General features: G+C 41.0%; 1 protein-coding gene and 1 long non-coding RNA gene across 11 annotated transcripts in view; one reads left to right on the top strand and one right to left on the bottom strand.

Moving 5' to 3' along the window:
- The window catches only part of RASGRP1 (RAS guanyl releasing protein 1), a 76712-nt gene that overhangs the window by 37320 nt on the left and 15124 nt on the right, over positions 1-24268 (top strand). For 6 of the 9 annotated variants that reach the window (NM_005739.4, XM_047432075.1, XM_047432076.1 and 3 more), the window contains 9 exons: positions 1091-1196; positions 8124-8186; positions 9072-9203; positions 11145-11298; positions 14539-14712; positions 15775-15891; positions 19494-19769; positions 21575-21655; positions 24119-24223. In NM_005739.4, the coding sequence (NP_005730.2) occupies positions 1091-1196; positions 8124-8186; positions 9072-9203; positions 11145-11298; positions 14539-14712; positions 15775-15891; positions 19494-19769; positions 21575-21655; positions 24119-24223 (1208 nt within the window). The remainder of the gene's footprint in view (positions 1-1090; positions 1197-8123; positions 8187-9071; positions 9204-11144; positions 11299-14538; positions 14713-15774; positions 15892-19493; positions 19770-21574; positions 21656-24118; positions 24224-24268) is intronic. The other 3 variants (NM_001306086.2, NM_001128602.2, XM_047432074.1) reach the window with 1 other exon arrangement.
- LOC105370774 (uncharacterized) lies at positions 8418-24119 on the bottom strand. Of its 2 annotated transcripts, none has more exons than XR_001751485.3 (2): positions 21179-24119; positions 8418-13641 (listed from the first exon to the last, which is right to left on the bottom strand). It is a non-coding gene; the product is annotated as an uncharacterized LOC105370774 (long non-coding RNA). The 2 variants fall into 2 exon arrangements; XR_007064583.1 differs by lacking the exon at positions 8418-13641 and adding an exon at positions 16397-17401.

Raw genomic sequence — 24268 nt, 5'->3', positions numbered from 1 at the left:
TATCAACACTCAGGAGTCATTACCACCCTTGGGGCCAGGGGGCCAAAGGAGATTAATAGTATTAGATCCAACGAGAGCTGGTGCCATGAAGGGAGGACCAACCAGCATGATCATTCATTGAAAAGATATGTAGTCACTGTCAGGGGAGTGGTGTCAATGCAGAGAGGGAATGAAAAACAAATATCCTGACTTCCCTCCACTCCCAGTCTCTTGCTGGTGCTTCCCAATGGCTAAACCCAACTGGAAGCCAGCTGGCAAGTGAGTGGGCTGATATTTTTCATGGTGAAAGAATAGATCTGGCAGAGAATAACCAGCAGAGCTCCTAACACTTCATGCCATAAATGTTGAAAAGATTTTGAAAACCACTCCAAGGGGAATCTTTTTACCCAATGCCAGTGTATAAATGCATCTTATTATTTTGTGCCAGCTGGGATTTAGAAAACCTAGCTAACCATGTTCTTTAATACAAATCATCATGAGTACTTGTAATCCACTTGCAATCTTAAAATGTAATGTTTGCCCATAGTCTTCTTTTATTTCCATCCAGAGGCATATTAACCATAAAACTGGAGAAGCATATATTTCAGGGCTCCTCACTTGCATGAGCCCCTTCCAAGGCCATGGGACGGCCCTAGAAATGTATTCATATGGTCATTTGTTTTTGTAAAATTTGTAAAGGTAAGATATTTTAACTGCAATCTATTAAAAACCAACTTTTCTCACTCTGACCCCAGAGAATTCTCTCCCTGCCCACCCCCCAACCAGTTATATGAACTTTAGGCCCCACAAAACCTGGATCTGCTTCTGCTTTCAGTGAGACTCAAGTGTGCTGATGCAGATTTTATCCCTTTCCCGATTTTACCACTGTGGAGAGGAAAAGGGGTAGTTAATGAGCATCAAAATGGACATTCTGCAAGGGAAGAATGTAGCAGGAGGATGAGAAAAACAGAGGGGGGCTGTGCTAGGGGCAGTGGAAGAAAATCACTGTGCCTGAAGGATTGCACCTGAGTCACAGAGGGTTTGCAGGTGTCTACCAGGTGACTAGTTTCCCTCCAGGGCCTAACTCAGGTGCTGCTCTTTATATTTTCAGATGCAGATGGAAACCTGTGTCGAAGTAACCAACTGTTGCAAGTCATGCTGACCATGCACCGAATTGTCATCTCCTCTGCAGAACTGCTCCAAAAAGTTATCACCCTATATCCTTTAACATAGTGACTGGCAATCCCAAAATGGGATCCACCCAAAAAGTAGCTTGAAATTTGAAGTATGCTTTTATTTTTATTGGTTTGGAATAACCCTGAGTGGCAAATAGGTTCATATGTCCTTTCAGGGGTATGGGTGCATGTGTTGGGGGTGTGTTCATGTATCCTCTGTTGGGTGGGGCAATGTTATTGATGCTGATTGCTCTGGGGGGTGGTCAAAGAAATCAATATGCAAGCACAATCTTCAGGCTCTTAATAGTAAAAAATATTTTTTCTGTAGAGTGTGCAAAATAGATATTCATCCTGTGCAAATTGACAAAGGTGCAAGCATGACTCAAGGATAAATTTCTTTCTGGCCTTCCTGTCCAATTCTTCAACTTTCTCCAGGTTCTGAAGAAAGATTCCCAGTGCCACAGCATCTGGAGAATCTGCTGGTGCCTTATTGCTTCAGGCAGGAGGACTGACTATGTGCCAAGCAAAACCTGCTGGACTTTAACCTTATTACGGGATATGAATCAAGTAGGGAGGAGAAAGCTCCTGCTTGCTTTTTCTCACTGATGACACTGTAAGCAGCAGCCCCCACAAAAGAAGAGTTGTAGGCGGAGTGAGACCGTTTAGCACCCAAGGCGCAGGTCCCTGGTACTGTGTCATGACTTGTAGCTGCTCTAACACTTTTCCACTCTCCTAATTCCCCGCGTTTCATCTTACAGCACACAGAAAAAATAAAAACCATCAGGACTGAATCCCTTCTCTATACCTACTCATGAGTCTTTACCTCTCATCTCAAAGGAGGTGTTTTCCAGTAGCACACAAAGTGGGGGAGCATTGCGAGAAGTGCACATAAATAAGAGGTGCAGGTAATAAGTGGGTGCCTCTTCTGCAGAGAATTTTAAACCATCATGAAACCAACTCAGTGTCTACTTTTTATTAATTTCATGTACCAGTGATTATAAACAATGTCAGTGATTAAATATTCCTCCCTAAAAACTTATTTGTTGGCCTAGGGACTAAATTGTTCCTGGGGTGTCTGGGCACAGTAGCTCACATCTGTAATCCCAGCACTTTGGAAGGCCAAAGTGGGCAGATCACTTAAGGTCAGGAGTTTGAGACCAGCCTGGCCAACATGGTGAAACCCCATCTCTACTAAAAATATGAAAATTAGCCGGGCATGGTGACATATGCCTGTAATTCCAGCTACTCATGAGGCTGAGGCAGGAGAATCACTTGAACCTGGGAAGTGGAGGTTGCAGTGAGCTGAGATCACACCACTGCACTCCAGCCTGGGCAATGAAGTGAGACTCTGTCTCAAAAAAAAAAAAAAAGAAAGAAAATTGTACCTCGGGGTTCCTGCCCTTAGTGCACTACTGGCTGCCTACATATTGGGGCAGACCCCCCCTCCCTTTCCCATGGTCCCTCGTACTTCTCACAGAATCTTACTCCACCAGCTATCACCCCTCCTATACTTTTAAACTCTACCTCTTCAATGGCACCTGCCCCTCAGCCTAAAACACATTCAAGTCTCCTCATCTAAAAATCAACTCTTAACCCTACCTCCCCTTCATTCCATTGTTAGGGTTAAAAATTTGATGTGAAAGCGTCTTAAAATAGTCTACACTCACTATCTCCAATCTCTTTACTACTCCTCACTTCGTAACTGTGTGAAGTTGGCCCCCAGTATTCGAACTTTCCTCTGATGTCACCAGTAACCTCCTGATTGCAAAGCCCAATGGCTTTTTCTCATCCTTGTTTCCATTGACCCCCAGAAGCATTAGGCATGACTGACAACCCCGTTCTCCTCCCAGCTCTCCCTCCAAGGCTCCCGGAACGACACCCTCCTGGCTTTCCTACCTCTTGGGTTGGGCCTTCTCCAGCTTTTCATCTAGAGGCTTCTTCGAGCTCTGCTTACATATGGTGTAATGTCCTGGTTTTCCTCTTACTCAGCTTCCTTTCTGTGGGTGATTTCTCACCAGAATTCCTACCACTGTTTCCACCATTCTTCTGTGCTGATGGTGACTTTCAAGTCTGGATTTCTCTAACTTAAACCTTTCCTTTTTTTTTTGGAAATTGGTGCGGGGAGAGGGGTCTCACTATATTGCCTAGTCTGGTCTCAAACTCCTGGCATCAAGTCATCCTCCCACCTCAGCCTCCCAAAGTACTGGGATTCCAGGCATGAGCCACGGCACCCAGCCATCTAACCTAAACCATTTTTCTTAGGTTTATACCAGTTTGTCCTGCTAACACTTAAGACTTTAATATATGCATTAGCCCACTGTCCCCACCCACAGCCACTACCTCATTAATTCTGCTTCGACACCAGTACAGCCTTGTTTTGCCTAAGACACATTCTGAGAAATACATCATTGGGCGACTCTGTCATTGTGTGAACACCATAGAGTGTACTTACACAAACCTAGATGGCATAGCCTGCTACACTTCTAGGCTAGACGGTACAGCCTGTTGCTCCTAGGCTACAAACCTGTACAGCAGGTTACTGTACTGAATACTGTAGGTGGTTGTAGCACATGGTAAGTATTTATATATCTAAACATAGAAAAAGTACAGTAAAAATATGGTATAAAAGATTAAAAAATGATATGTATAGGGGGGCACTTACCATGAATGGAGCTTGCAGGACTGGAAGTTGCTCTGGGTAGTCAGGGGTGAGTGGTGAGTGAATGTGAAGGCCTAGGACATTACTGTACATAACTGTAGGTTTTATAAACACTATATACTTAGGCTATACTAAATTGATAAAAAATATTTTTCTTTCTTCAATAATAATTTAGCTTACTGTGACTTTATGTTATAAACTTAATTTTTAAAACTTTGACTCTACACAGTGTACAGCTGTGTAAAAATATTTTCTTTATATTCTTCTGTAAGCTTCTTTCTGTTTTAAAAATGTTTAATGTTTATTAACTTTTTAAACTTTGTTGTCAAAATCTAAGACACAAGTATACACAGTAGCCTAGGCCTATATTGGGTCAGGATTATGAAGACAGGATGAGGCAATAGGAATTTTTCAACTTCATTGTAATCTCATGGGACCACTGTCATATATGTGGTCCGTCATGGACCAAAATGTTATGCAGCACATGACTGTATTTTCATGGTCAATTTCAGTTAATAGTGTTAGTATCTATTCTTGCCTAAACCAGTAACATCAGAAGCACTCTTGACTTCTCCCCTGCTTTCACCTCCTACAGTCTGTCACCTGATCCTAGGGTTTCTACTTCAGAAATGACTCTTATCTGGTCTCTGCTCTCCATTCCCATACCATGCCTTAGTTCATGTCTCCGTGGTCTCTCTCCTGAACCACTGTCCCACTCCAGTCTTTGTATCTACATGGTCCGCCTACCCCGTCTCATGGTAGCTACCCTTGAAATTCTTTCCTACAAAGCAAATTGGGCAGGCCATTGTTTCTGAGCCTCTGCAGACTACGGAGTTAATGTCAACTCCTTAGCTTGCCAGCAAAAGGGCCTCCTCAGTCTGTTCCCAGCGAGTTTTTCCTGCTTCATTCCGTAGCTCTCTGAGAAACCCTTTCCCTTCCTCACTGAACTTCTCAATATACTGGATGTAATGGGGCCTTTTATCATTCCTGTGCCTTGAAAGCCTTTCTACCCTCTTTGTTTAGAAGCTCTTTCAAGACCCTTCTGGGAAGCTTTTCTAGACTTTTCCAGCCCTTCTCCCCTTTTAAAAATACTTCTAATGTTTTAAAATAGTATTATTGATTGACAATCTATTTAATTCCTTTGATTTTAGTTTTGTACTGCTTAAGTCAAAGTGCGTTTCTCATATCTCTGGCCTGGATGTAATCTGCATTGAAAAACTCACAGAAAGTGTGAAGTGTTTTTATTCTGTTAGCTAAATAAATGTATCTACCTAAACTTCAGTCCGTTTTGCAATGTAGTGCCTATGTACTCTGGTCTTTATAGATGACCGTTTCAAGTAAAGTACAGAACGTTTGTGTCTAGCTGCTGTGATTTCAATTTGGTTAATAATATAAAAGATTGCAAGGGTACTGAAAAATTGATTGAATTACAAATTAAGAAAGATATATTTTTGTATTTTAAAAGTATGTACACTGTAACTTACCTATTTGTGTGTCGTCTCCCCCGCTAGACTCTGTCTTTCAAGGGCAGGGAGCAAGGCTTATTTATCTTTGTATCTAGAACTTAGTTTAGTGGCTGTTTCATGGTAGGACACAATAAATGTTGCATTACTATGGGTGCAAACATTGGGATACTTTTTATATTTACAAGAACTTTTACCTGTGATATCTGGGCTTTGCTCAGGTGAAGATGTAACCTGGGGTAGGGAAAGGGATTCTGAGAGTATGAAATAATACTCCTGTAATGAAAGCCAGGTTAAACATTGAAGGCAAAATTATTTTCTTTCTTTACGCTTAGTTTCCCTGTTCTCTGACCTGGAAGTAATAGAATTTTTAGTTAAATAAGCTCAGATGGTCTCCTGATTACCATTGTGAAAAGAAGAGAGGGATAAATTTGAAAATGTGCTTTGAATAGTTTAGGTGCCTGAAAAGTACAGTCAGAACTGTACTGGTACTTTATAGCCACAGTACTAGCTATGAAGAAAAGAAAAAGGTATGGGGTCTGAGGGTTCCAGCAAACACTGAAGTTTACCAAGATCAGCAGATGCCTGAGCCTCTTACTATTTAGCCTGCATGTGCTGGTGTTTGCTTCAGCTCCTGAATGAAGTGAGAAAGAGGGTGCCCTGCTCCCTGTGGGGGGCAGCCTTTGCCATGGCATAGGGGCTCTAAGGACCTCTGAATGATGCCCAGGCTCAGCACTCACGTGTAGACTGACTGGATTTACAACACTGACGCTGCACCACATGCAGCCAACGTGCACTGTCAGAATATACTTTTGAAGGGAAGGATAAGGAGCCACTGGGAGAAGGTGAATGACACGGTAAAAGTCACCATGTCGATTTAATGTATCTACTTAGCTTTAAAACAGAAGTGTGGTTTTTGTGCCTTCCCCTTTAAAATGGAAGAATAAAAATTTCAACAAGTAGAACAAATGATAAAAATATAGAATCTGAGAGGTATTTATCTATGTGCCTTTTGCCTGAATCTCTTTGCATTGAAGTGATGCATTTTCTTAGTGATGTGGCATAAAGAAACATAAAGCCATCTCATTCTCACTTCTACTTTTCCACCCAAAGAAAGGCAGGCATAAAAACTTTCTACTTCATGAAGTTTGCCAGTTCCCTGCACTTATTTTTATGTCAATTACCTTTGTTGATGTGTAGGGTTTTTTGGGTTTTTGTTTTGTTTTGGTGCTCTGATCTAAAGGGCAGATTTTATAGGCAGTATATGTATTAAAATTTAATTTTTAAAACTAGAAGTCATTTTATTAAAATTACAAATTTTATAACCATAGTTCTTGTTTAGGGTTTCAAGTTTAGCTTGCAAATCTTACTGTTTCCATAAGTCTAGCATGTTTCAGCAAGCATTTTTAAGGGACTTTGAAAAATGTTTCGTTAATTTGAATAATGTTAATTAAATATTCCCAATGATTTTAAACTACAGTTCTGCATTTTATATCTTAGATAATTTTTAAGTGCTTCAGATACCTCCCTGAATTCTAAATAGTTTTTTATAACTCTAATAGATTAAATTTATAAACAGTAAAGCTATCATTATCTTAGATGTTCCAAAGCTATGCATAAACTTAATAAGGTTTCAATTTAAAACCACAAGTGTAAAGCACTTAATTATATATTGCAAATTGAAGTTTCAAGGCTATCATTCTAATATGCTTTTAAACATTACAAGCATATACAATTTCAAAATGCACAGATCTCCTTCCTGACAAAAAAGATCAGTACTATGACTTTGACTCTCTTTTGCTTTTCTTTATTTAACTCTAAATTTTCCAAAGGTTAAAATATATACACCCACAGAAGGAAGACCAGTCCTGTCCCAGTTAATTAAAATGTTTGCTGGGTTGTTCACTGGATTCCTCTCATGGGCCCAGCTGGAATTCACTGAACCCTATATTGTAGTCATTATGCACAGCTTTTAGAAGGAAAACAAGGCATGGCCTTTACGGGCGGGCACAGAGCCCACATAGCCTGATGCCTCAGTCTGTTGATGGGAAATGGCAGGACCTATTCGGGCTCATCACTGCATTGGAGTTCTCATCTCTTTGACTCTTAAAATAGATGAATATTTTTTTCCATTTATCTTTAAAGACATGTGAACTTGATGAGATCTTGCTATTCTTTCATATTCTTGGAATGCTCAGAATGAAAAGGATCCTTAAGGTGACCTCCAGTTTTGTTTTCGATTATTCACACGGTTTATCTGACTTGCCGTTACAATCTATGAGGTCAGTCTACTGACATCCTCTAGGTGTATATATTGTAACTTTCATATTATTGTTCTTCATTATCATGACATATCTGAATATTGAATATGTATTTTTTCCTCTTCGAATTCACTGCATACATGTGTATCAGTTAAAAGAAACATTGTAAAAGATAAATGGGGCTGCTGTTTTTTCTTTTTTTTCTGCTTCATTTTTCCTTCATAGGGGCTGCTTTTTGAGCACAGGCAAGGAGTCATTTGCCCCTTCTTCACTTTTTATAAGTTACCTGTCTCAGGACCTCTTTACATGATTCATTTCTTAGTTCTGCAGTGCTGCTGCTTCCTTCCGTAAGCCAGGTCGACGTGGGCTGGAGAGAAAATTACCATCATCGCCTTTCTAGGCAATAATATGCATACAGCTGTACACATCAAGTTGGTTTTTATCCTTTGGCCAGAAAGATAAAGCATCACATTTTCATTTTTTAGAAAAAATATTTTGGGAGGTAGTTTCAGCAAATACTTCCAAAGATGAAAAGTCGTTTGGTTTCTGTAACAGAGGTCTCCATTTCCCTTAACCACAGCCCTACCTATAAGGATGCTTTGGCAAAGAATTCACCAGGACTTTGCCTGAAGATCTGTTATTTTGTAAGGTAATGTTTCTTTATGTATTTCAAGACTTTGTGGAGCAAGGTGAAATGAAAGGTGAAGCAAGGGACTTTCCCTGCCTTTCCTGACCTCTATAGAACACCTTTGGACAGATGGAAAAGGGTAGTCCTTCATAACAGTGAATTTTCTCTGGTGTACTTGAGCTTAATTATTTTATACCAACCTTTTTTCAGTCTTTGGTATCAAATGACATGAAGGAGGGAATACAGAAATAATTAAAGGTCTGTTATTTTCTTTATTTTTGTTCTTAATTATACAAGTAATATAGCTCATTATAGAACATTTTTAAAAATGTAGAAAAGAATATAACTATAATAATGATCACTCATATCCAGTTACCTATTTTGGTGTATTTCCTTTGTCTTGTTTTCATGTCAATTTTTTTGAGATGAAAATATATATACGGTTTTATATCTTATAGTTTTCACTTAGCTTTATAGCATGAGAATCTTCTCTAGTCATTAAAGACTTTTTGTAAACATTCTTTTTAATAGCCATGTAATATTCGAATATGATAAAGCATAATCTATGAATAGATTGTCTCATTTTGGACATTTGGTTTATCTATAGTTCTCTCCCTTATAATTATCTCCAACCCACATGATTGTGCCTGAATCTTTGTCATGGCTCCTTTGATTATGCTATGCCTTATCCTACCACAGCATTTGTGTGGAGGGACAGAAGATTTTCAGTGGATGGGTTTTCTTCCTTCCCTGCTCCCACCCCAGCTCCTTCAATATACTAATAGACGAATCAGACTTTGTCTTTTTCTGAGTTCTCTTTGTGGCAGTAAATTCCTTTTGGAACCCAACAAATTGTGAGTCCTTGGTATCAGTTTTGGATTGTGTTTTTTAACCCCCTCCTTGTAGGTATTGGATAACAGAATTCTGGGTCATGTTTAAAATGGACGCCAGCTTGACAGACACTATGGAGGAGTTTCAGGAACTGGTGAAAGCTAAGGGTGAGGAGTTACATTGCCGCCTGATTGACACAACTCAAATGTGAGTGTCAAGGTCTTGACTCATCTTTCGAAACCACCTCCCTCCTGTAATATAATCCCAGTTGCTTGTTGGGCTTCTGACCCCCAGCGGTGACTGCTGCTCTCTTTCTCCACTCTGAGAAGCCCCTCAAATACACAGGTTCAAACTGCCTCACCAAAGTGAAGGCTTGGCATTTAACAGAAAAGCAGAGAGGCCTCATGGTGATAAAGCAGTAGGTGACATATCCAGGAGCAGAAAAAGTAAGTCCCAGTCAAAAAGAAATCAGGTAGCAAGATATTGACTAAAATTAATCCAGATAATGAAAAACTGAAAGTGCAAATGACTGAACCCACGCTTAATGCCAGGAGGCACACCTGAACTTGTAAATGGGACAGGACTAAAAAATGTATTCAGGAGAAGGCTTATAACATATATGGATGTCTATGAAAGACACTTAGACTTCCAGAGCTGGATGGGATTCCAGGAATGTTTTAAATTATTCCTTGGAATTCTTATTTATAAGACTGACCCATTCTGGGAAAATGAGTGCCTTTCCTAATTAGGGGGAGGGGAATGTATGCTTTGTATGCCAGGGTTTTCACAGTGTGGCTGCTTTATTTTGAAATAGTACAAATCCCTAAGAAATAGAATTCTAGAACTGATATATATTCTAGAGATCATTTCATCCAACATCCTGATTTTTCTGACTGGGAAATTGAGGCTCAGCAAGAATGTGACTCATCTAGGGTCCAGCTAGTTAAGCTAGTGACAGAGCAGCAGCTAGCCTCTGAGGTCCTGTCCATGATGCACTGTAGCCACGTAGAAATGATTTCAAGATTACATTCCAGAGCCCCAAATAAGTCTGTTTATCAGTTTGGATTCTCTGTACTTCTCTGCTTAAAATTACACAACTTGAAAGATAAGAGATTATTCAAAGTAATAGTTTCTTCATTTTAAAGATGAAATTAGAGCCCAGGGCAATTCTCAACCCCAGCTCTCCTTGTCCCAGTATTTCCTAGCTGACTTTTCTTGACCAAAATTTTCCACATTATATTCTGTAGGAATTATTAGTCTGTGGGATATTACTTGGCCAGATATAACTGAGGAATAATGAGTTAAACTTTCCTTTTGCAGTGCTTTTCAGAGTGTGTAATATGCTCACTGGCCAAAGAGGCTACAGAATTTATAGCACTTCCCAAGCTCATTGACCACAGAACCCTTTTATCAAGAGACAAGGTTCCCAGGAATACCAGTTTGGAAGACAGGCAACCTGCTGTCTTTCAAAATGGGGCCGCTTCCCTTTGCTTGTTTAGTGAAGGAAACTGAATAAGAAATGCATGGGTTGATTACAAGAAAATAATGGGGGCAGGGCGCACTCTAGGGTCAGCTAGGCTTCCTTGGTCATTTCAGTAGCTGAGGACATTTGAGGAAAATGACACAACTCTGCCAAGAGTGACCATATGTTTCTACGCGTGATTCCCTCCCTTTATGACATCTTGCTGTGGTTCTTTGAGCTCTCTTTCTGGCATGAAAACTGTTTCACTGCCTTGGGATTTCCAACCAGATAGAGAGTCCCTATCATTCACACAAGAATGAAGGAACACACAAGCAGAATGGAGGGAGCAGACATACCAGATGATACACAAAGGAGCCAGGACCAAAGGCAAGGAAACTGACCGATACCTGAGACTCCTTCCTTCCCACTGCCTTAAAGTAAACTCATTTATCCTGTACCCAACTGCACACTTAAAAGGCTCACTGAAAACCAGCAAGACCTCCTGGAGGCTGCCATGGAAAAAAACTGATTTGGAGAAACTCTGTGAATGCACTGTTTTGGCATTCACAAGGAAAGTTAGCTAATGGTGTTTTGTATATTCTTGTGAGAAATGTTAATGGATTTACTTGCAAAAAGCGATTTATTCCTTTTCCCTGTCTTCTCCCTTTCACATTTACCCACAAAAGCAATGCCCGTGACTGGTCCAGGAAACTTACTCAAAGGATAAAATCAAATACCAGCAAGAAACGGAAAGTCTCCCTGCTCTTTGACCATCTGGAACCAGAAGAGCTATCCGAGCACCTCACCTACCTTGAGTTCAAGTCTTTCCGGAGGATATCGGTATGTATGCAAGGGGCAGGAGAAAAATCTTCCCTGGGATATTTCTGAAAATAAGATGATAATTCAACAGCCCATCCGCTTCATAACCTTAGAGGCCCCCTCAAGTCGTGGCAGGCTTTCCTGCCAGACATCATAGAGTCTGAAAAAATCAGTACCATCTGAATTCCTTTGATTGTGACTCCTGTGCTTCTCCCATCTCTCTTCTTCCATGCCCCCGCCCCATACCATCCCACCACTCACTCAAGTTACCATACTGTGGGCACACATCACACACACACACACACACTCTCTCTCTCTCTCTCTCTCTCTGTCTCTCTCATTCTACCCTCATACCCCTGATAATCCTCATACCCCTGATAATCATTAGGCTTCAACAACTCTTTTTAAAATCTTCCTCAAAAAAAAAAAGGGGGGGGGGTGCGGGGGCGGGGAGAGGATATGTCCTCTCAGAGTTTGAATTCATTCTGGGGTAAGCTTTGAATGGCTCTGGGAAATCCCAAAATAGATTCTACTGCCCTAGCCCAGAACATACCTAAATCCTTGAAGTGGTCCTGGCCCAGAAGTCACTGTGATTCTAGAGATAAGCTGTGCTGACCCAAAACCTTTCAACTGGGGCAACTAAGCAGAGTCAAAGGGAGAGAGATTTCAGTTGATCATCAGGTACAGAAAGAGTACAGGTTCATCCTTTCCTCACTGCAATCCATATGTGATCCCAAAGAATATTAGTTCTATGCAAGAGAACTTGTCAACATGTCAGATGCCAACAGACCCTCACTGGCTAATGTGCTTTCCTGAGAAATGAAACCCTTATTCCACTTAGCCCCTACCCCTACCAACAGATACAGTCTTCACCTCCGTGCTAAAAATAGTGACCACCTAGTTGCTGGGTCCATTTATTAAAATGACCAGTATTCTCCTGGTGAGGGGATGGAGGCCCAGAGGGCTGACTTGAACAAGGTCGACACAGCTGATTACAGTCAAAGCTGGGGCTAGGACTACATGCCTCTCTCAGTCACTCAGCACCAATTTGTTGAGCTCAGTTGTGTCTGGAAGGAGACCTGCAAATCAGGTTACAAAGGTTATTTTACATTTTCATTCATAATATTGACAGCCCTTCTGTTTTCACGCAGCTGTTTGGTCACTCAGCCAGGAAGCTCCCAGCTTCCATTTGGAAATAACTTCTCCAAGCATTAACTCTCCATTCTCTGCACCCCTCAGTACCCCAGACCCAAATTGAAAAGCTCTGCCTCAGGAGTTCCCATTTGGCAGTGCCTCCCCGTCACAGGGAAGGACAGCAGTCAGAGCTGAGCCACTGAAAAAAGCCATTTATCACACAGGAAATCTGAGCTCTGCAGGGGTCAAACTGGCAGGCTGCTTGGTCAGGCCTGCAGGATGTCTGCTTGATGCCAATGCTCACATCAGTGGAGGCAGAAGTGAAAAATCAGTGCAGAACGAGGAATCCCAGCCAGTGTCCCCAGGGGTTGAACAGTGTTCTATTTGCAAGTGAAAACATCAGTTTCAACCTTCATTTCTTTTGAGTGGCTTGGTCCCTTCATAGAAGACTATCTCAGGGTTTTTTTGTTTTTCCTGTACAGTGCTAAACAGTTTTACCAAACACAAGTTTTCTCTCCAACATGAGGTTGGAGGGAAATTTATCTGTGCTGTGAATTGAAAGGCATTTGATATCTTCTGTTTATTACAAAACTTTAGGGGTAGTGAGGATGTTACTGGGATAATTGTTTTAAAAAAACAAGTGGATTTAAAGTTATATTTATAGTGGGAGGGGGGTATTAAATGTATTCACTGGAATATATTAATTGAATGAATATATTCAAAATATATGCAATGAGTTGTGGCTACTTTCTTTTAGAACCAGTAAGATGTTTGCTTTATATATCTCTCTTAAGGAGCGATTTTGGTCCTACTCATAGGTTTTCCACCCATCAGCAGCCATATAGCACAGTAAAATGGGGCTCAGTTAATTTGCAGCTATTTTATTTGGGTTGTGACTTCTCATCTATATATTTACTACTTAGGCAGAACTAAGGTGTACTGTAGTAATAACCCCCCACCCACCCACCTCCTGTACAATCTCAGTGGCTTAATTAAGCAAAAGTTTATTTTTCACTCACACTGCATGTCTAACATGGGTCAGCAGAGGCTGATCAGAGTTCCCCAGGAACCCAGATGATGGAGGCTTCATCTTGCCAGGAATTTCCAAGATCTCTGCAGCAGTAGGAAGGCAACATGGCAGACCACTCACTGGCTCTTACATCTTTGCCTCCAAAGTTACATCGCTTCCACTCAACATTCTGCTGGCTGAACCATGTCATATGGTCACACCTTCTTTCAAAGGGAAGAGTTGAGAAGGGAAGAGTTGGAAATAATTGGGGAAAAGCACCAAAGACTTCCATAGGAAAGTTGAAGAGAAACAGACTGTGATTTGAGCAGAGGGATTCTTTGTGACAGGGACACAATAGCTACAAACATCACTTAGACTAGATCTTCAGGGACATTTCCAGTTTTACACATGTTGTTTCATTGCCAACTGTAGTCAATGCTATTGTCAACTTGGGAAACCATGATCAGCAAACATATAGCTAACCAAATTTTAAGTACTCCATTTGCCTCTGCTCCAGTTGGTGAGTAGAAGGAAATACAAACAGGCTTGTATTAGCATAAGGTTCATAACTACTCCATTAGCGCAACCTTACATATATGTAACACTTTAAAAAGTTAAAGCTTTCACACATTATCTTCTTTGATCTTCATAACAATTCTATGTCCTAGATAGGGCAGATTTTATGATCACATTTTTAAGGTAAGAAAACAGCTGGGGAGAGAGAGATTTGTTTTTGTCAGGGGAATTACCTTTTATTCCCTTAACCTTAGCAGCAATACTGATCTTTATTCTGTACTGTATTCTTTAGAATTTAGAATAGTCAGTAACAATATCTACTGAAATACAGCATTTGGATTAACTAATGTGTCTACACATCCACTTATTCCTAATAACTTTCGATGTAGAGAAATCATGCTGTGGGTAGAATAAGGAAGATTTCCCTCCCATCATGCTTGTTGGCAAGTGGCCAAGATGCAGAAGAGCACCAGGAGCTCCTCTGTTCCATGGCAGTTCCCAGCCATCAACTGAGCAGACTGGACTTGTCCCTTAAATCTTCTGGAATACCAGAGTACAGTACTGATAGGTTTTTTTTGTTGTTGTTGTTTCTTTTCCTGCAGTTCTCTGATTATCAGAATTACCTTGTAAATAGCTGTGTGAAGGAAAACCCCACCATGGAGCGATCTATTGCTCTGTGCAACGGCATCTCCCAGTGGGTACAACTGATGGTTCTCAGCCGCCCCACGCCGCAGCTCCGAGCAGAAGTCTTCATCAAGTTCATCCAGGTGGCTCAGGTGAATAACTGGTTTAAGACATTTGGCTTGGGCTATAAGGTAAACTTTCTATCCCCTTTTCCTCCAGCTTAGTCTATTAATTAGAGCTGTTTTTTCCCTCCTGAACCATGGCGAGGGGGTGGAGAGGTTTGTGTGCCTTCAACCAGATCTAGATATGGTGACTTGTCTCTTCTTCCATACAAGGACAGTGTGGAGGGGAGGGGGCCATACAGGCCATATCAGGGGTCAGGATCCAGTTTTAGATCTGTTTAGACCTTTAACATTTTTCAAAAGATGCTTACCAGCCTACATTATTTTCCCGAGTCTGGCCCACATGGCAAAGGAAAGGGCAATTCTAAGATTTACTGGAGCTGGACCATCCTGGATTGTCTTAGGTCTTTAAGCCCATGCAGTGCTGAATGGCTGCATTTAATGTTTGAGGGGCATTTTATAAGAGGAAAACAAGTACTATGAACCCATATTTGAAGTTCCCCAGAGATTCTAGCTTCTCTGTCCCAGTTACTGTCCTATATAGGCACTGGCATTGCATGGGAAAATAAGACAAAGTCCTTACCCTCAAAAATAAAAGTCTGGTAAATTTGGAATAAATAAAAGATTACACTTAATAATATCTTTCTCCAACTCTGGATGGTCTAGACCAGTGTTTCTCAAAGTCAACAGCTCTGACTTTGGATCACCTGCTCTGATATTAACTAAAGGTATATTAAAAGTACAGATCTCCAAGCCTAACCCCAGATCCAGGCAATCAGAATGTCTGGGTTAGGTCCAGAAACCATTGTGTTAAACAAATACTTGAGGTGATTCTAAGAAAGCACTGATCTAGAAGGTGGTCCACAGATCAGCAACAACAAAAGGAGAGAGATGTAATGCCTCCCAGATGTGGAATCCACCAGTCTGAATAAAGCAGAAGGGGAGACATGGACAGGAAATTGCAATGCCTCGTAACTAGTCTTTAACCAGCGTAAGGGAGACTCACGGCACAGAGACAAGAGGCAGCCTCTAAGCTCCCCATATAACTGACATGTACAGTGACTCTGCTGTCATCTGTCTTCTGTGTCACAGAAGCTCCACCAACTACAGAACTTCAATACACTGATGGCTGTGATAGGTGGGCTGTGTCACAGCTCAATCTCGAGGCTCAAGGAGACAAGTTCGCATGTCCCACATGAAATCAATAAGGTCAGTGCTACTGTCTTCTCTGGGGCCCTTAGCAGCATTCTCAAGATGTGTGCCAACATTTTCTCCTTGGTGGGCAGCCCAGAGAGCATTTCCAACCACACCATCCCTTGTCAACCAGGCTAAGTGGCAGGGAGGCAAACCTTAAGGAAATCCATAGGATGGAGAAGTCACATTTTTTAGAGTAACTGTGATTTTGTCTGGCCTCAGACAGTGTCACTGCAAACATTCCTGCTGGACCAGTTGAAACAATGTGTGCCTCTTCCCATGTTCATAGGCCATGGAATATTCAGTTACCATCTTTGACACTGATTCCCTCGCTCCAGCTCCTTGCTCTAAAATGTGTTCTCAAAAGGAATTGTGGTTCGGTTGACCATAGGTCAGTTTGCACATTGAGTGTAGTTATATAGTGATATATTAAAAACTTAGCTATCCAGAACCCTTGAAGAATGACATTCCGGATAGTTGAATTTTACCAGATAATTGGATATGAGTTCTTCAGATACCATTTTGTAATACATAATGTTTTATTAATGAATATTTTTCTTAAATGTCCTGTACATTTTCCTACATTATTAGATTTTACAGAATATACTTTTATCTTTTATGACATAGGGCTGTTTTGCTTGTTTCTCTTTTTTATAGAAACAGGGTCTTCCTCTGTCATCAAGGCTGGAGCACAGGCTGGCACGATCATAGCTCACTGCAGTCTCAAACTCCTGGGCTCAAGCAATCCTCCCACCTCAGCCTACCAAGTAGCTAGGACCATGGGTGCACACCATTATGCCCAGCTATTTTTTAAAATTTTTGTAGAGATAAGGGTCTCCCTATGTTGTCCAGACTGGTCTCCAACTCTTGGCCTCAAGCGATCCTCCCATCTCGGCCTCCTAAAGTATTGGAATTACAGGCATGAGCCACTGAGTCCAGCTGGAGCTGTTGTTATAAATATAAACCACTGTAATATACCGAGGATATAAATGTATGGCATGGGTTAGATAATGACTGCTCTTTGAGCACTTTCATGTAAGAGGACCTTACTATACTCAAGCCCCAATCCTTCCAAACTAGCATGGAGAGGAACTCTCTTTTTAGGGAGAGATACCTAAGCTCATTACCCCATCTGTTTTTCCCAGGTGTTCAGCTCCCTTTTGGGGAGTCTTTTATTATCTCTGTTATCACAATGCTGGGCCTCTGGGGAGGCCCCCCACTTCCCAGTGGTCTGATCAAAAGGGCATCATCTTTAGTCACCTCTTCATTCCTTAACGGTTCTGCTGAAACCAGGTGGAACAGTTGAAAAGATTGCCCACATCTCAGAGGTGACAGAGAGAAATAGTCACAGAGATTAAGAAGCCTTCATGTCATTTAGCTTATAAGAGAGAGCTTGCTCCTCTTCAGCTTGGGGTCCCCCCACAGCAGTGCTTCCTGTCGGTAGCTACTTGACCCTCAGGGTGGTCTGCATAGTGAATTAGTAAGTCCAGGGTTGAAGCAAAAGTCCCCAAGTTGTTGATTTCACCTTCGGAGGGGAATAAAAATATCTTTATCATTTTTGCTGTTACACTCTTGTCTTGTGAGCCCCTTCCATGCCTAGGGCTCACCTGCACCATTGGTAGAGGTTTATGAAGAAGAAGCTCTCTTGCCATCTCCCAGTGATTTGAAGGGGTCTGACTCCAAGAACTCCAAGTTCTTCATTGTGGAGAAATGGTACTTCGTAGGCCACAATTTTATTAAGTTTGGGCACAGTGTCTAAAAGGGTTACAGTAGTCCCCCTTATCTGAGGTTTTGTCTCCTGTAGTTTCAGTTATCTGAGGTCAACTGCAGTCCAAAAAAAATTTAATGGAAAATCCCAGAAATAATTCATAAATTTTATTATTTATTTATTGATTGAGACAGTCTCACTCTGTCACCCAGGCTGGAGTGCAGTGGCTCAGTCTCAGCTCACTGGAATCTCCGCCTCCCAGGTTCAAGTAATCCTCCTGCCTCAGGCTCCCAAGTAGCTGGGACTACAGGCGTGTGCCACCACGCCGGGTTAATTTTGTATTTTTAGTAGAGACGGGGTTTCACCATGTTAGCCAGGCTGGTCTTGAACTTTGGACCTCAGGTGATCCGTCCACCTCGGTCTCCCAAAGTGCTGGGATTACAGGCATGAACCACCACGCCTGGCCAATTCATAAGTTTTAAAATGCATGCTGTGCTGAGTAGCATGATGAAATCTTAAGCCATCCCATTCCATTCTTTCTGGGACTCCTTCATATCAGTCACTAAGTAGCCGTCTTGGTCATCAGATTGACTGTCATGGTATTGCAGTGCTTGTGTTCAAGTAACTCTCACTTTGTTTAATAATGGCCTCACAGTGCAAGAGTAATGATGTTGGCAATTTGGATATGCCAAAGAGCAGCCCTAAAGTGTTTCCTCTAAGTTCTTTACTTAATAAGGAAGGAAAAAAATCATATGCTGAGGTTGCTAAGATCTAAGTAAGAAGGAATTTCATCTATGAAATTGTGAAAAAGAAAAGAAGTTCATTCTAGTTTCTCTTTTGTACTTCATACTGCAAAAAGTTATGGCCACAGTGCATGATGGGAATGGCATTACATTTGTGGGTGGGAAACATGAACAGAAATGTGTTCCACTTGACAGCAATCGGGTTTGTTACTATGCACAGTTTCAGGCATCAATTAGGCGTCTTGGACTGTATCCCCCTAAGGATAAGAGAGGACTCCTTATGTTGTATGATAACATGATTGGCAGACAGTCACTTCATGTCTTTGCTTCTGAGAAAGCTGGTTATCACTCATGGGGAATGGATTCTGTGAACTGCTTGCTGACTTGAATGACAAGTGATTGAAAAGAAAACTAGATCTGGCTGCTCCCTTTCTGTGCTGGTGAGCAGCCGTTCCCACTTCCAGGTTTGAAGCAGGGTGTAACCTCTAATGTCCTCTCTCCTGTCCTTTGCTCAGAATTGATCTAGTCTATTCAGTCTTTTTAGTTCAAGGTTTTAGTCTGTGAATGGAATGTCACTTGCTTTCTAGTCATAGGCCCATTCTGAGAATCTTGAAAGGCCCATCAAGCACCTCATAGAGAATAACACACAATAGACTACTGAAGCTCCACTCTTAAAATACATGCTCTTCCCCATGCCAGCAACATAGTCAGCATTTCCTGACATCACATTTCAACTGTTAATCAATGCAGTGTCTCTGGAAGCATTCAGAAGACACCAAGGAAGGGAATCACATGGCTTGGGGACAGGAGTTAGAGGGATAGTGTTCACTATATATTCTTGTACCTTTTTAATTTTTGTATCAGGTCCTTGTTTTTGAAAAGAAGGAAATTTTAACATAAAAATGATAAAACCCCGATTTATAATGTTTAAGTTATATAACAGATTCAAGCATATCTTGTGTTTATAAATATATTCTGTGATATTTGACATAGCTGAGGTTTTAACTGGGGAGTCATAATCTGTACCTTTTACATGAATTACCCCCTGCTCAACAAATTCTGGATGGGGTGAGATCATGGCACAGGATGCAAACATGCAAGGTCCTCATTACAGACAATGCACACTGCCTAGCGGGTACCTGTGATTGGTCTGTTCTGCTTTGTAGGTTCTCGGTGAGATGACTGAGCTGCTGTCCTCCTCCAGAAACTACGACAATTACCGGCGAGCCTATGGAGAGTGCACCGACTTCAAGATCCCCATTCTGGGTGTGCATCTCAAGGACCTCATCTCCCTGTATGAAGCCATGCCTGACTATCTGGAGGACGGGAAAGTGAACGTCCATAAGCTACTGGCCCTATACAATCATATCAGTGAATTGGTCCAGCTGCAAGAGGTGGCCCCACCCTTGGAGGCTAACAAGGACTTGGTACACTTGCTGACGGTGAGGCTCACACTGGAGGACAATTACTAAGCACTTTCTGTGTGCCAGGTGCCATTCTATACCCCTTACCAAATATTAGCTGTTAGTCCTCATAAAGGCTCTATGAAGCAGATCCTATTACTATCTCCAACATATAGCTAGGGATACTAAAGCACAAAGATATACCTTGCCAGGAGACCACACATTATTAAGTAGCAGAGCCTTGATTCAGACCCAGGTGGTGGGACTCTAGAGACTGTGCCCTTCAGACTTCTAGGACTGTTTCACTACCTCTACAAAAGCAGTCCTAAGCTCTCTGGGAGGAGCTGATGGCAAATCAGGATACAAGTCTTGGTAACAGATGGAGAGAATGAATGTGCTCTCATAAAAAGGGCAGGCAGTAATTTAAAAAACAAACAAAAAACACCCAGGGTTATTATTTGGTTCCTGGCTTAGATCTTTGCTCTTGGAGATATTCAAGTGAAGATGAACACTTGTCAATGGTGTGGGAGACCAGGATTTGCATTTTGCATATGGGGTGAGATCAGATGATGAACTCCCTTCCAGACCTGCAATTCCGTAGTTTACCAGCTGTGTGACTATGGACATATAACCGTCCAAGATTCCTCTCCTCAAACGAATTAGTCTCTGGGATGACTTCGAACTTCTCTTCCAGTTCTAAAGTTACACAGTTTTTAACCTGCTGTTTTTGGAGAGTAGAATAATGATCATAACCTCTTTCTGCCTCACAGCAGCATTTTGATAGAACCCTGGGCTTCACATCAGCTGGTGTGTGATCCTAGCCCTTTCACTTATTAGCCAGGTGACCTTGGCAGGTCTGTGTCTCAGACATCATTTGTAAAAACATGGAGTGAATCTTAACATTCTTTGGATTATAAATCTTGTGATGAAAGCTGTGAACCTTCTTCCCAGAAAAATGTACATAAGCCATTTATTTTTAAATATGCATGTAATTTCAAGTTCTGAAATCCTTGAAGCCTATCCATAGACTCAAGGTTAAGAATAATATTATTCCTAAGGACTTCTCTCCTAAAATTTTATAGTTCTAAGATACATGAAACTCACTATTTTTTTTTTTTTTTTTTTTTTTGGAGACAAGGTCTGGCTCTATGACCTAGACTGGAGTGCAGTAGTGCAATCTCAGCTCACTGCAACCTCTATCTTCCAGGTCCAAGCCATCCTCCCACCTCAGCCTCCTGAGTAGCTGGGACCACGGGCACACGCCACCACGCCCGGTTAACTTTTGTATTTTTTGTAGAGACAGGGTTTTGCTATGTTGCCCAGGCTGGTCTCAAACTCCTGAGCTCAAGCAATCAACCTGCCCTGGCCTCCCAAAATGCTGGGAATACAGGCATGAGCCACCATGCACCCAGACTCATTAACTCTTAATAGCAATTAATATGTCTTACCATTTAAACTGGATTTTATTGCTGGACTCAAATTTAATAGTCTCAGACTATACACACCATCCTTTCAGATCATCTGTCTGCTTTGAGAGAGAACAAGTGATGTATTAGTCATCTGTCCAGACAAGGCCTTTGGCCTAAGCTCTATATAGAGGCTTAGATTTAAATCATAGTTAAAAAGAGGGCATCCTATGTCCAAAATTAAAAACATTTCAATGAGAATTAATGCTTGCCCTATTGCAATAGTAGGTGTTATACCTGTTTTGTGACTTTTAAAAACAAACTGTTTAGAACCTAAAAGAGTAAACTACTGGCAAGGAAAATCCAAGAAAGAACCATCAGCTGTGGGAGAGGCAAACAGCATCTTAGCAATGAACCCTGTTCTGCTTTGATCTGCAGTTATCCCTGGATCTTTACTACACTGAGGATGAAATCTATGAGCTTTCCTATGCCCGGGAACCAAGGAACCACAGAGCTCCAGTGAGTTTTTCATATTAAGACTCCACATGTAACAGGTGCTTTACAAGCTTCTCCTCGAGTTCATTCATCCTCAGGAACAGACTTTCAGTTCAGTTTAATACATGTACTGTTTTTCTTAGTGCTCAACCTTATGCTAGGAACAGAGAAAGCTTTTCAACATATGTCTGAGGAATAGTTCCTGTCCATTAAAAAGCTGTGATATAGTTGAAGGGATAAGCCTAATGTGTGACCAGTGAATAACTAGTGAACAGTAAATAACTATATCATCAGAATGCCAGGTGTGGTGGAATCAGTCAGTGGTTTACAAAGTAGAGAAGGAAGATACTATTGTGCACCAGAGTGACATCCCCCCCGCATTAAGAAGAGTCCCCACATAAATTTCTTTTCTATGATTCATTGATGATAATGAGAGTAATATGCGTACTAATCAGAAGCTAAATTTCTGAAGATTTCCAGGTTGGTAGATAGAAAAGCCCCATTTTCCTGTAATGTTCTGGGTGAAAAGAACAGTCTGCTGAGTCTTTTGACCTCCTATGCTGAGAAGTCCTCAAAATAGTACACAGTCCTGGCACTGCCTGCAGTAGGAACTTCACAGGTTATCTGCCCTACCCTCCCACAGGCAAGTAAAATCACTTCAGTCTCCTGGGACGTTTCCAAACCCCAAAACAAGTGATACTCAAGGGAAGAGAGTTGCCCACACTTAAGAAATCCAGCTCATCTATTGGGGTGGCTAAATTGCACTCCTCCACACAGAAAGATCAAGTTCTAGCTTTCTATTGTAATGAAAGATTCCACTGAAAATATTTGGTAGATTCCATTTTCAGGTTAGAGGCATTTCAATGGAAAGGGTACATTCTGTTTTTTCAGAGAGATTTTAATTTGGGCTGAGTTTCAAATACAGTCATGCACCACATAATGACATTTTGGTCAGTGATAGACCTCATATACCACAGTGGTCCCTTAAGATTATAATGGAGCAGAAAAATTACTACTGCCTAGTGACAGAACAATTGTAACATTGTAGCACAACACATTACTCACTATGTCTGTGATTATACTGGTGTAAACAAACCTACTGAGCTGTAAAAAGTCTAGGTTATACACTTACGTACAGTACATAATACTTGATAGTAAGTATTACCGGTTTATGCACTTACTATACAATACTTTTTATCATTATTTTAGAGTGCATTCCTTCTACTTAGAAAAATTAACTGTAAAACAGCCTCAGGCAAGTCCTCCAGAAGGTGACAGCTCCATGCATGTTATTGCCCCTAAAGACCTTCCAATAGGATAAGATGTGGAGTGGAAGACAGTGATATTGATGATCTTGACTCTATATAGACATAGGCCAATGAGTGTAATTGTACCTTAGTTTATAACAAAGATTTAAAAAATTAAACATTTTTAAAATAGAAAAAAGTTTATAGAATATGGCTATAAAGGAAATAACTGGTACAGCTATAAGCTATACAATGTGTGCTTTAAGCTAAGTGTCATAACAAAAGAGTAAAAGTTAAAAAAATTAAAAGCTTTTACAGTAAAATAAGGTAATTTATCATTGAAGAAAAAATTTAAGAAACTTAGTGTAGTCTAAGTGTACAGTATTTATAAAGTATATAGGAGTATACAGTAATGTTAGGCCTCCACATTCACTCACCACTCACGACTTGCCACAGTAATTTCTAATCTTGAAAGCTCTATTCATGGTTAAGTGCCCTATACAGGTGTAACATTAAAAAAAAATTTCTATACCATATTTTTACCTTTTCTATGTTTAGATATGTTAAGATACACAAATACCATCATTACAATTGCCTACAGTACTGAGTATAATAACCTGCTGTATAGGTATGTAGCCTAGGAGCAGTAGGCTATACCAAATAGCCTAGGTGTGTAGCAGGCTATACCATCTAGGTTTGTGTAAGTACACACTGTGGTGCTCATACAATGACAAAATCACCTCATGACACATTTCTCAGAACATATCCCAGTCATTAAGTGATGCATGACTGTATTTAGAAAAGAGCTTGTCCAGGCTTCCGATGATTTTTCTTGTGCCTTCCTGCCTTTTAGCTAAGCTTTTCCTTATTCACATTTCTACTGCAAAATGTGACTGGAGAATAGAGAGGAATCATAAATGATCCACTTTACTCTTTGTTGATAGCTCTGACAAAGGGTTTAATGGAGAGGGAATTGCAACTCAGGCAGATTGAGAATTTCAAATTATCTGTAGCTGCAGATAATGTATGTGAAGAGCACTCTGGAAACCGTAAGCACAATGCCTTGTTAGCCAAAATTATTAGTAGAGATTTCAATTGCCTGTGGGTTCTCTGCTCCTTGCCACTGAACATAATTGAAGATTGTCCATAAATGTAACCGTCAGGTAGTGGGAAAAGAAAGAGCTATAGGTTATAATATTGCATTGTAGTCATGAGGATTTCTCTAAATATTTCATTTTAGCCACTAACACCTTCAAAGCCACCAGTAGTAGTGGACTGGGCTTCTGGAGTGTCTCCCAAACCTGATCCAAAAACCATTAGCAAACACGTCCAGAGGATGGTGGATGTAAGTACAGCTGTGTTCAGCACACAAAAACTAGGCATTGCCTGG

Source organism: Homo sapiens, chromosome 15 (assembly GCF_000001405.40).
Source record: "Homo sapiens chromosome 15, GRCh38.p14 Primary Assembly".
NCBI lineage: Eukaryota > Metazoa > Chordata > Mammalia > Primates > Hominidae > Homo > Homo sapiens.
This window is presented reverse-complemented; position numbering and strand designations above follow the sequence as displayed.